This window comes from Homo sapiens, chromosome 3, assembly GCF_000001405.40.
Source record: "Homo sapiens chromosome 3, GRCh38.p14 Primary Assembly".
Lineage (NCBI taxonomy): Eukaryota > Metazoa > Chordata > Mammalia > Primates > Hominidae > Homo > Homo sapiens.
The window spans coordinates 136,592,882-136,605,716 of record NC_000003.12 but is presented as its reverse complement, the minus strand read 5'-3'; the positions used below and the strand labels follow the sequence as shown (position 1 = coordinate 136,605,716).

The window sequence follows — 12,835 nt, the reverse complement described above, 5'->3', positions numbered from 1 at the left end:
AGACACTTATCTCATTGGAGATGAGAGACCATAAATTGGTAAGTGAAGCAGGCATATAATGGGAATGAATTAAATTACTCAATAGAGAGCATAAGGACTGAGAAGAAAAGATACTTAGGGGAGACCTCTAGGTAATACTAGCAGGTAAGAAATACAGGGAGGGGAAAGATAACTGAAAGGAAAGGAAAAAAGTCTTGTCTGTTAAGAGAGTTTCAAGAAATGTCTATTGCATTTAGCAACGTTGGTGTCACTGGTGAGTTTGGTGAAGTAGCAACTGTAGAATGAGTTTGTATGTGAATGAATGAATGTATGAATGAATGAAATTAACAGGAATAGATACAGTGACTGCCAACAATTTTTTCAAATGATCCTTGGCCCTAAAGGTGAGATAGAGATAAGATTATAGCAAGTATTAACTTTTTAAAATAAAGTTGGGGGGAGGGGATGGTATGTTAATTAAAGAATGTAAACTCCATCAGGGCAAGAATGTTTGTCTGTTTTGTTTATTGCTGTATTGCCAGTACCTGAAATAGTTCCAGATACGTTCAGCATATTTGTTGCATGACTAAGAAATACTTGAGCATTTCAGTAGGGGTAGAAGTTGAATATATGGCATTTCCCAGAAATGTTTTCTGTACAAGATTTCTGAGGAAGTAGGAGAGTATCAATGAATGTATGCAGAAGGAAATGTCAAGAAGGGGCAAGGTTAAAATATTCAACATTGGCATTATTATTGTACAAAACACTAAAGCAATTTTTAAAACATCATCTAGGTGTGGTGGCTCATGCTGTTAATTCCAGCATTTTTGAAGGCCAAGGTGGGCGAATCATTTGAGGTCAGGAGTACGAGACCAGCCTGGCCAACATGGTGAAACTCCGTCTCTATTGAAAATACAAAAATTAACTGGTCGTGGTGGTGGGGTCTGTAATCTCAGCTACTCGGGAGGCTGAGGCAGGAGAATCACTTGAACCTGGGAGGAGGATGCTGCAGTGAGCTAAGAGAGTGCCACTGCACTCCATCCTGGGCGACAGAGCAAGACTCTGTCTCAAAAAACAAAAGAAAGTTACCTTCATACCTTTTATGTATAAACTTATGTTTTGCTCTTTGCACTTTTTTGAATTACTGAGAAGAAATTTTAAAGTTTCTTTTGGTTAGGGATTATATTTCTTCTATAGTAGTGATCATTTTATATAAAGCAAAGTAAACCTAATCGAATGGAATCTTTTTTTATCTTTTTTTCAGTCTACAAATAAGAAACCTCGAAAATCTCCAGGTGAGAAGAGCAGAATTGAAGCTGGAATTAGAGGAGCAGGCCGTGGAAGAGCTAATGGACACCCTCAACAGAATGGGGAAGGGGAGCCTGTCACATTATTTGAGGTGGTGAAACTGGGGAAAAGTGCAATGCAGGTAAATTTTAAGTTTTTATTTCACGTATAAAGCAATACAGTTAATAACTTGGGTGGAATCAGTTAGTGTGTATATTGGCACTTTATATACTTCTGTTGATTATGTAAGCAACCTTTCAGTTTATCCTGAAAGGTTATTATTTTGCTTTGTTTTGCAAAGAGTGTCAGGAATGGCTGTTTAATCGTAAGATGTACTTTTGTTTAAATTGTTCTAAGTAAAAAGGTCTACTAGAAGCTGCCCAAGAGAATTTTTATTGTCTTGATATTTTTTTTTTGAATCTGATTTAGTGTAAGTAACACATGTGTCTTTCAGAGTATTTGAAAGAAGAAGGGATATAAAAAAAGAATTCTTAAGTAGTGAATTAGGAATAACCAGAACTACATCATTTGTAACTTTCTTTCTTTCTTTCTTTCTTTTTTTTTGAGACAGAGTCTGGCTCTGTTGCCCAGGCTGGAGTGCAGTGGCACGATCTTGGCTCACTTCAAGCTCTGCCTCCCGGGTTCACGCCATTCCCCTGCCTCAGCCTCCCGAGTAGCTGGGACTACAGGTGCCTGCCACCATGCCCGGCTAATTTTTTGTATGTTTTTTAGTAGAGATGGGGTTTCACCGTGTTACCCAGGATGATCTCGATCTGCTGACCTCGTGATCCACCTGCCTCGGCCTCCCAAAGTACTGGGATTACAGGCGTGAGCCACCGCGCCCGGCCATAACTTTCTTACTCTTTTATCTCTTCTCATTTAGTCCATAAATACTAAGTATTCTGCAGGAGCACCATTCTCACTAATGCATTGTAAGGATAAGCCATAATTATTTTTCTTTAGTGTGTATATTTTTATCACTATCATTAAATGTGTTTATTATTTATGTTCGTCTCTACATTTTTAACATTTTAAAATGCTAGAGGTGGAATTATTTGGCTAAAGGATATTTTTAAATTGTGAAATATATAAATACTGTATTTCTCTCCCATAAATTGTACTATTTCACCTTTCACGAGAAGTGTACAGGAGAATTGCTTGAACCCAGGAGGTGGAGGTTGCAGTGAGCCGAGATTGTGCCACTGCACTCCAGCCTGGGGTACAGAGCCAGACTCTATCTCAAAAAAAAAAAAATTAGGTAATTGTGAAACGGAATTACTATTAGAACTAAAACAGACAACTTTTCATTAGTATACTTTCTATTATATTTTTTACCTGTATTTCTTTTTGAAGCCCTTAAGGGTGTTTAGTGTTTCTTTCTTTTTATGTATGTTACCAGATTGACGTGTTGTGTTCAAGAGTCCTGGAATTTGTGTGGGCAGGGAAGGAGGTGGATTAGTGGGATGATGCTAAATGGTGAAACATGTATTGAATTTCCAGTTACCCAAAGCAATGGATGACAATATTTAAATTATATAAGTTTAATATAAAAATAGATTTGTGACCTTTTGCCATTAAGCTTGATAATTTATTCATTATACTTTTGTTTCTGAGACAGAGTCTTGCTCCATTGCCCAGGTTGGAGTGCAGTGGCTCACTGCAACCTCCACCTCCCGGGTTCAAGGGATTCTTGTGCCTCAGCCTCCTGAATAGCTGGGATTACAGGTGTGTGCCAGCACGCCCAGCTAATTTTTGTATTTTTAGTAGAGATGGAGTTTCACCATATTGGCCAGGCTGGTCTGAAACTCCTGACCTCAAGTGATGCACCCACCTCTGCCTTCCAAAGTGCTGGGATTACAGGCATGAGTCACCATGCCCGGCCTCATTATACTTTAATAGAAGAATTGTTAACAAGCTACGGAAGCATTAATTTTAAAGACCTTTTCTATTGCTTCCCACCTTTAGGTAGAAATACAAGCAGAAAAATGACAGAAATGTATTTTTATGTAAAATTTTGATAATTGCATTTCAGATATTTTTCTTCTCTCTCTCTCTTTTTTTTTTTTTTTGTTTGAGATGGAGTGTCTCTCTGTCGCCAGGCTGGAGTGCAGTGGCGTGATCCCGGCTCGCTGCAACCTCCGCCTCCCAGGTTCAAGCAATTCTTCTGCCTCAACTTCCCAAGTAGCTGGGACTACAGGCACACACCACCATGCCCAGCTAATTTTTGTATTTTTAGTAGAGACGGGGCTTTACCATGTTGGCCAGGACGGTCTCGATCTCCTGACCTCGTGATCCGCCCACCTCGGCCTCCCAAAGTGCTGGGATTATAGACGTGAGCCACTGTGCCCGGCCTTACTTCCTTTTCTTTAAATGTAAGCCTTTATTTTATGAGATATTTATGTAAAAATAATTTTCATGCATATTGTATTAAAGCTTAATGCCAGTCCTTATTTTTAATATTAACAAACTCTTATCATCATCTATATTTGAAATAAAACATTGACCAATAGAAGTGTTTTCAGTTTTAATTCATGGTATTCTTCTCTTCATCCATATTACTCTTTTCTAATTATACTCTTATGCTGTGTCTTTTCTGCTGAAACTTTTTTTTTTTGGAGAATGAGCCTCTCTCTATTAGCCAGGCTGAAGTACAGTGGACGATCTCAGCTCACTGCAACTTCTGCCCCACAGGTTCAAGCGATTCTCCTGCCTCAACCTCCCGAGTAGCTGGGGTTACAGGTGCCTGCCACCACGTCTAGCTAATTTTTTGTTTGTTTGTTTGTTTGTTTTGTATTTTTAGTAGAGATAGGCTTTCACCGTGTTGGCCAGGCTGCTCTCAAACTCCTGACCTCAAGTGGTCTGCCCGCCTCACCCTCCCAAAGTGCTGGGATTACAGGCATGAGCCACCACACCCAGCTGTCTTCGGCTGAAACTTTTTGTTTCTTATTTTCTGAAAGATAATGATCAGTAGTCAGGACTCTGGTACCTTCCATAATTTGGTGTTAACCCACCTTTCAACTTCTTCTTACTGTTTCTCTCTTGAAATCTGCTTCATGTTATTTTTACTGTAATTTTAATTATTAATATTTTTTACTGGCTATATTTAAAATTTATAAACGTTTGTAATTTTTTTATGTGGCAGTCTTTTGGGCACATTTTTTTCTATGAATTTACCTTCTGATTTTTATTATTTTGGCAGTACTTCCTAAAATAGTTGGGTCATGGTTTATTTAACTAGATTTTATTTGAACTGTTTCCAGTTTTATTGTATTAAAAATAGTACTTCTTTAGGCTGGGTGTGGTGGCTCATGCCTGTAATCTCAGCACCTTGGGAGGCTGAGGCGGGTGGATCAGTTGAGGTCAGGAGTTTGAGACCAGTCTGGCCAACATGGTGAAACCCTGTCTCTACTAAAAATACAAAAATTAGCTGGATGTGGTGCTAATTTCAAGGAGAGCTGCTTGAACCCAGGAGGCGGAGGTCGCAGTGAGCCAAGATTGCGCCACTGCACTCCAGCCTTGGCGACAGAGGAAGACTTCTTCTCAAACAAAACAAAACAAAACAAAACAAAACAAAACAAAACAAACAAACAAACAACAACAAGAAAAAATAAAGAGCACAGCTGTGCGTGGTTGCTCACGCCTGTAATCCCAGCATTTTGGGAGGCCCAGGCGGGCAGATCAGAAGGTCAGGAGTTTGAGACCACCCTGGCCAATATGGTAAAATCCCATCTCTACTAAAAATAAAAAAAAAATTAGCTGGGCATGGTTGCGCAAGCCTGTAATCCCAGCTACTCAGGAGGCTGAGGCAGGAGAATTGCTTGAACCCGGGAGGTAGAGGTTGCATTGAGCCAAGATTGTGCCACTACACGCCAGCCTGGGTGACAGAGCGAGACTCCGTCTCAAAAATAAAAAATAAAGAGCAAGATAATACAAGCCGACATCAGTGATTTAGAAACAAAGTAGGTATTTCTGTGGTTTGTATGGAAGAAAACTACAAAGTGATGAACAGGATTGGGTTTAGGGCAGAAAAGCATATGCTTTATAGCCAGGAGTTTGGTTGTTGAGTGTTAAAGTGCTTCATGAAGAATAGGAGAATCGAATCGGGCTTATTACATGAAGCCAAGGCCTAATGTGAGTCTCCCCATTTGTAAAGCAGGCTGAAGGAAAGTGCCAATAACTACTGCATAGGCTTATGTTTAGGGTAATCGTGTATCTCAAGTTACCCTTGAGATGTCCAGTTTGTGCTTATTGTCCATGTATTTATTAATAGAGGCTCCTTTAATATTCAGAAGGGTAGTAGTTTGCATGGCTATTTTTATTAAAACATCACTTACAGGAAATCAAAAGCTGAGGAAAGGGAGAAGATGGACATAATTCTTATAACTGACACCTGAATTGAAATGTCTGTTCATTTGGTTGGTGACTGGGTCTGTGAAAATTCCCAATGTTGTTTTAGGAAAGAGTCTGAAAATTCCCACTCTTGTCTTTTATATGATCTGGTTCTGCCATGGAGGTAATGACAGAAACATAAGAGGGGAGGGATAAATAATAAAATAATGAATATGTATGTTGAAGATGCTAGAGGGATGAAAGAAGAAATTCTGTCTTATACAAAATAAGGAAGATGAAACAAGATATGGAACAGGAGCAGTCTCGAAAATTGAAAGTAAATTCTTAAAACAGTACATTATGTTACTGAGGAAAAATACTGCTTTAGGTGCCATGAGAGGGAGAATTCAAGTATTGGCATTTATTGGACTCAGTTAGAATGTAGCCCAGAGAAATAAGGAGGTAAGAAAACATGAAAGAGCCATTTAAAGACTTTGGTATGGATTGAAGGGTTCCAGAATATACCAAGGGAAGAGATCAGAGGGAAGAAAAGAGATGAAGGATTTATTTTATTTTATTTTATTTATTTTTGAGACAGAGTCTCGCTCTGTCACCCAGGCTGGAGTGCAGTGGCGCAATCTCGGCTCACTGCAGGCTCCGTCTCCTGGGCTCACACCACTCTCCTGCTTCAGCCTCCCAAGTAGCTGGGACTACAGGCACATGTCACCATGCTCGGCTAATTTTTTTATTTTTAGTAGATACAGGGTTTTGCCATGTTACCCTAGGCTGGTCTTGAACTCCTGGACTCAAGTGATCCTCCTACCTCAGCCTTCTAAAGTGCTGGAATTACAAGATTGAGCCAGCACACCTAGCCCAATCTCTTTCCTTTTAATGGCTGCATGTATACCACATTTTCTAGTCTATTATTGTTGGGCATTTGGGTTGATTTTATGTCTTTCCTATTATGAATAGTGCTGCAATGAACATACACATGCATGTATGTTTATAATAGAATGATTTACATTCCTTTGGGTATATACCTGTTAATGGGATTGCTGGGTCAAGTGGTATTTCTGCCTTTAGTTCTTTGAGGAATCACGGTCTTAGATACAATTTTTGAAGAGATAATTTTGGAGAAATTTCCAGACAAATTTCCTTTGATCCAAAGTTTGTTCTCAGGAGTGAGCAAGATAAGTGAAAGTAATTTCATAGCTGTAAATAGTATAGTATAACTGAAGTATTAAGGAAATTTTGAAAGATTTCATCAAGGAATGTCTGATCGTTTTCTTTATAATGCAGTTAATGTTGAAATACACAGTAAAATAAATTCTCCTGGTAAATTGCATTATAAAATTTACCAGGAGAATAAAAAGGTGCTTTTTAAAAGTTTGTATTGGCCGGGCGCGGTGGCTCACGCCTGTAATCCCAGTACTTTGGGGAGGCCGAGGTGGGCAGATCACAAGGTCAGGAGATCGAAACCATCCTGGGTAACACAGTGAAACCCCGTCTCTACTAAAAATACAAAAAATTAGCCGGGCGTGGTGGCGGGCGCCTATAGTCCCAGCTACTTGGGAGGCTGAGGCAGGAGAATGGCGTGAACCCGGGAGGTGGAGCTTGCAGTGAGCCGAGATTGCGCCATTGCACTCCAGCCTGGGCAACAGAGCGAGACTCCGTCTCAAAAAAAAAGAAAAAAAAAAAAGGTTGTATTAAAGAGGAGATATACAGAGTTGTAATGTGAATATTAGTGAAAGAAATGTTAGTGAAAATGTTGGAGCCAGCTAAAGCATTACTTGGATAGATGTGTTATCTTAAGGGCATTAATGCTAAGCAAAAGCAAAAGAAACTAGAAAAAAGAAAAACAGCAAACCTAACATTACTGTGAAGAAAGGAATAATAAAAGTAGAAATGGAAGTTAAATAGAAAGGTTAAAGAAGGTCAACTAAACCCAAATATTTGAGTCTAAGAAAACTTTAGGACCAGAAGGTTTTATCTTAGGAATACCGAGATGGTTTAATATTAGAAAATCTTTTAGTATAATGTCCAGATAATCTCATTACAGGAGAAAAAAGCCTATACTTACCTGAAGTGATGTAGGATGTTTAGAAAAATTATGTGATAATATATAGCTAATAGTTTTTATAAACAGAAACTTTTGATAATTAGGAACAAGAGGGAACTTCCTTAGCTTGTAAAGGTTATCTCCCCCAAACCTACAGCTCAGATTATGTCATTTTTAAATAACGGTGAAGTTTAGGTGTATTCCCAGGATATAAGCATTATTACTGCTGTTCAGTACTGGAACACCTAGCCAATACATTAAAAAAAAAAAAGAAGAGCTATAGCAATTGAAGATGAAGATGCAAAAGTATCCCTATTGGAAGAGGATATAATTGTGTTGAAATTTCAAGAGAAACCGTAGACTGTTAGAACTAATGAGAGCATTCAGCAACGTTCCTGGATAGAAAGTTTAAAAAATCAGTAGCCTTTTCTGTATGGCATTAATAACCAATTAGAACAAGTAATCAGAAACGAGCATATTCAAGATAGAAGTAAAATCAATGAAGTACAAAATAAAAATCTAATAAAAAATTTGGGTGGAACAGAATAAACTACTATTTTAAAAACCCATCATATTGAGTAATTAAAAAGACCTGACCATACCAATAGTCAGTAAGGTTGTAGAACAGCAACTAGTGGGAGTACAGATCTGTGTACAGATTCTCCTTTGGAGACTATTTTGGTAATATCAAGAAGAGTTTTCATTCAGGCAGTAAATATTTAATGAGTGTTTACACTGTGGAAACCACTTTTTCCCTTCTTTCTTTTCTTTACTAAGAATATAACATTAAAGAAAACCAATTCAATTCTTAGATATAACCTCTGGATACAGTTTTTTTACATGTTTATAAAAGGCATATATAGGAATGAATATTTTTTTCATTGCTTTGTTTATACTAACAAAAAAATAAAAATCCCAAATTTCTATAATAAACAGGATAATTGATAAACTGTGGTATATTTAAACTCTGAAAAAAAATTTTTTTTTAAGATACAGTCTCGCTCTGTCGCGCAGATTGGGGTGCCAGTGACATGGTCCCAGCACACTGTAACCACTGCCTCCCAGGTTCAAGTGATTCTTGTGCCTCAGCCTCCTAAGTAGCTGGGATTACAGGCATGCGCCAGTACGCCTGGCTAAATTTTTTGTATTTTTAGTAGAGACAAGGTTTCCCTATGTTGGCCAAGCTGGTCTTGAACTCCTGGCCTCAAGCAGTCTGCCTGCCTTGGCCTCCCAAGGTGCTGGGACTACAGATGTGAGCCCCCATGCCTGGCCTGAAATTATTTACTGCATTTAAAATGAGTAAACTAGAATTCTAGGTACCAGTACGAATAAATTTTAAAAATGGATTTTAAAGGTCCAATGCAAATTGCAGAATGATGCATAACACATGATGCTACAGTACTTATAAAGTGTGAAAATATACTTAAGGTTATTTAACATCATGTTTTTTATATTGATTACTTTCTGAAAAGATAGGAGAAAAAGGATAGGACCACAAAGGTTTATATGATATATAGGTATACCTCAGAGATATTGTGGGTTTGGTTCCAGTGAGTCATACAAACTTTTTGGCTTCCTAGTACATATAAAAGTTATATTTACCCTATAGTGTATTGTGTGTGCAATATTATTATGTCTGAAAAAAAACCAATGTACGTACCTTAATTAAAAATACTATTAAAAACGCTAATGAACATCTGAACCTTCAGTGAGTCATAATCTTTTTGCTAGTGGAAAGTCTTGCCTTGATGTTGATAGCTGCCGACTGATCAAGTGGCTGTGGTAGTTTCCTAAAACAAGACAACAATGAAGTTTCTGCATCAGTTGACTCTTCCTTTCATGAAAGATTTCTCTGTAGCATGCAATGCTGTTTGATAGCATTTTACCACAGAACTATTTCAAAATTGGAGGAAGTCCTCTCAAACCCTGTCACTGCTTTATCATATAAATTTATGTAATATTCAGAATCCTTTGTTGCCATTTCAACAGTGTTCACAGCATCTTCACCAGGAGTAGGAGTTTAGTAGGCAGTAGCAGAAGACGTTTCTTAATTTAGAAACAGGAAATGCAAAGATAAAATCTGTTATCCGACCATAGAGGACAGTAGATGCCCTTGTAAAAATGGAGCTGAGAGAAACTACATTCTGACCATTGAATACTTTTTGTAAAATTGATGGTATTTTAGAAAGAAAATTACTTGTTTGTATTTTCATTTTTAGAAATGCCTTTCTGGGAGCAATTTAGATGATGATTTGGTGGGCAGGTAAGGCTGGAATCAGACCAAAGGCTTTTTTTTTTTAAACACTGATCCATTAGGGAACTAAAGAAAGTTCTTATTTATTTATTTATTTATTTATTTATTTATTTATTTATTTATTTATTTATTGAGATGGAGTCTTGCTCTGTCGCCCAGGCTGGAGTGCAGTGGTGCGGTCTCGGCTCACTACAAGCTCCACCTCCCGGATTCATGCCATTCTTCTGCCTCAGCCTCCTGAGCAGCTGGGACTGCAGGCGCCCGCAGTTTTGTATTTTCAGTAGAGACAGGGTTTTACCGTGTTAGCCAGGATGGTCTCAATCTCCTGACCTCGTGATCCACCTGCCTCAGCCTCCCAAAGTAGAAAGTTCAAATTTATAGAAGGTCAGTGAGAATGGAGAGGAAGTGACAGATTGTGCAAATATTCAGGCTCTGGAATGATTAGGAAAGATGAGAAAGAGGAAGTAATCTAAGGTGGTCCCTAGTTGTTTGACTTGGTAGCGTTCACTGAAAGTTTGTGTGAATATAGGTATTGGAGGATGGCTATGAGAGTAGTTTGGACATCCTGACTTTTAGATCTGTGACATTAAATACATGTTGAATTTTGGAACTTTCAAGCTGTGTAGTCTAAGTGATATTTTTTGCTTTAGTAGTTATGAGTAAGAGCTTGTTAATTTCTGTAATCCATTGGCATTTTCATTTTGTACACCTAGATATCAACTATAAAAGTTGGACTATAGGGCTGGACATGATGGCTCAGTCCTGTAAGCCCAGTACTTTGGGAGGCTGAAGCAGGCAGATCTCTTGAGCCAGGAGTTCGAGACTAGCCTGGGCAACATGGCAAAACCCCATCTCAACCAAAATACAAAAAGTAGCCAGGTGTGGTGGCATGTGTCTGTAGTCCCAGCTACTCAGGAGGCTGAGTTGGGAAAATCACCTGAGCCCGGGAAGTCAAGGCTGCAGTGAGCTGTGATTGTGCCATTGCACTCCAGCCTGGGCAACGGGAGTGAGACTCTGTCTCAAAAAAAAAGTCGGACTGTCGTTTATTCATTCAACAAAAATTCCAAGCTAATTGGGTTAGGCGCAGGGCTACAATATTAATTAAACTCACCTGACCCTTACCTTCATGGACTTTCTAGTCTTGGAAGAAGAAATAGTTTATACCAATCAAATGATCTATTAATATACAATTAAAAACTGTTGATTAACACTAAGCAAACTTTCTTTGGTCTTAGTGTAGTGATAACAACAGCTTATGTGAATAAGGAACTCTTGTTAACCTATAAATTAAGTATACTTAGTGAGACAATTTGGTCTTCTGTTTGCTTTTGACAACTGACTTTGAAGGTGAAACTAATTTTGTCCATTTAAATATGATTGGGCAAGAGGTAGGTGTCTTAGAAATTGTGATCAGACATTCTCTGTCCCTTAGGGTTAGTAAGCTTTGTTTTAGTGTCAAAGAAAAGTATGGACTTTTATAGTGACATTGGTTTCTTCTAGCCTCCGAATTATAGATGAGTTACATGCCAAATCGCTTCGTATCATCAAATGGAGAGGAATTCTCAAGCTGGGCTTGAGTTTTACTCTATGACTATACCAAGGAAAGAGGAAAGCAGCTGTGGGTTTATTTAAATTCTACCTGTTAACTTGTAAGTGTTAGAACTGACAGTTACATAGTAACTGTAATAGGGCTTGTATGCATTTCTGAGCTATTAATAGAATGGATAAAAGTGTTTTAATAATTTTCTAATATTCATTGACTGAGAAGCTTGAAAGTTTCAAGAAGTATTAAAATGGCCAAAGAATGTATAAGGATTGTAATTATAAACAAATGATACTGAGACATTAGATGAGAGGACACATATACTATTGATTAAAATGAAACTTCATGACAAAGATGGGGAGAACACATTGAAAGACAGAAATACTGTAATGAAGTTAAGGAGTAAAATTTTGTGGAACTAAGCAAATATAAATACTTGAATAGAATTAATACTTGAGTGTATAATACAAGAAATGTGTTAATAGCTGTGACTGCTACAGTGCAAAATATTGGGTACAGAATTTAAAATCATATAATATTCTAAACATTTAGAGTCTTTGCCTGAAGATAAAATTGGAAAACTGAAAATAGCAGTTGTTTAAACAAGATAGATGTTTATTTCTCTCATATGTAAAAGATCATAGATACGTGGTCTTTTCCATGGGGACTGGTGGATTGTGAAATAATTGAAATTCTCAATATTTTAATAATCATTAAAGTATATTTTATTGTAATTTTAGAAGTATACCTGTTGATGTTTTTCAAAACTGGATTTTCCATTTAAAAAGGAAGAAGCTGCTAAGGCAGCACAATGGGAGGCAGCCAACTCTAGGTCTTTATTCCAAGCACCCTCTGGATATCCTCCTGTGCTGTTTTCATTCCTGTTGCCTGACGCTGGTGGGCATTCTGGGCCTAATGCTTCTTGCTAGTGGTGAAGACCAGACATATCTCACCTAATATGTACCATGAACAAGTTAATGTGCTACGTGTTGGGGTGAGGTGAGGGGCAGGGTGGGTCCCAGCCTGGTCCCACGCACTGGGCTTTTGAGAGGAACTGTTCCAGTTTATATCCCTTATTTCTGAAAAAACATGCGCGAGTGACCAGAGCATGGTGAACTTTAGTGAGCATACCTTTTTGGATGTTGATTGCCTTCCCAACCCCAGCTATGGCAGAAAGGATATTTAAAGGCCCACTAGTGCAGCCAGATATCATTGTGTTGGTGGGTGAACCTAGTGAGCACCCACAATTTGGAAAAGGAAGACCTGAGCCAATGATAACAACACCCTTGTCACAAATTATTATTGCCAGGTTGTCTGTGCCTTTGAACTCAGACAAAGTTGTGCACTACAAGCAGTGCATCATCTATACCAAGTTGTAGCAGAA

General features: G+C 38.2%; 1 protein-coding gene across 6 annotated transcripts in view; it reads left to right on the top strand.

Annotated features, from left to right (window-relative positions):
* Positions 1-12,835, top strand: part of STAG1 (STAG1 cohesin complex component) — a 416,143-nt gene that overhangs the window by 146,662 nt on the left and 256,646 nt on the right. For 4 of the 6 annotated variants that reach the window (XR_001739978.2, NM_005862.3, XM_047447229.1 and 1 more), the window contains one exon: positions 1,244-1,408. Coding sequence is in view for 3 of the 6 variants with exons in the window: in NM_005862.3 (NP_005853.2) it covers positions 1,244-1,408 (165 nt within the window). In the remaining 3 variants the exon portion in view is untranslated. Of the gene's footprint in view, positions 1-1,243; positions 1,409-12,835 lie in introns of those variants that run through there. The other 2 variants (XM_047447231.1, XM_047447230.1) reach the window with 2 other exon arrangements.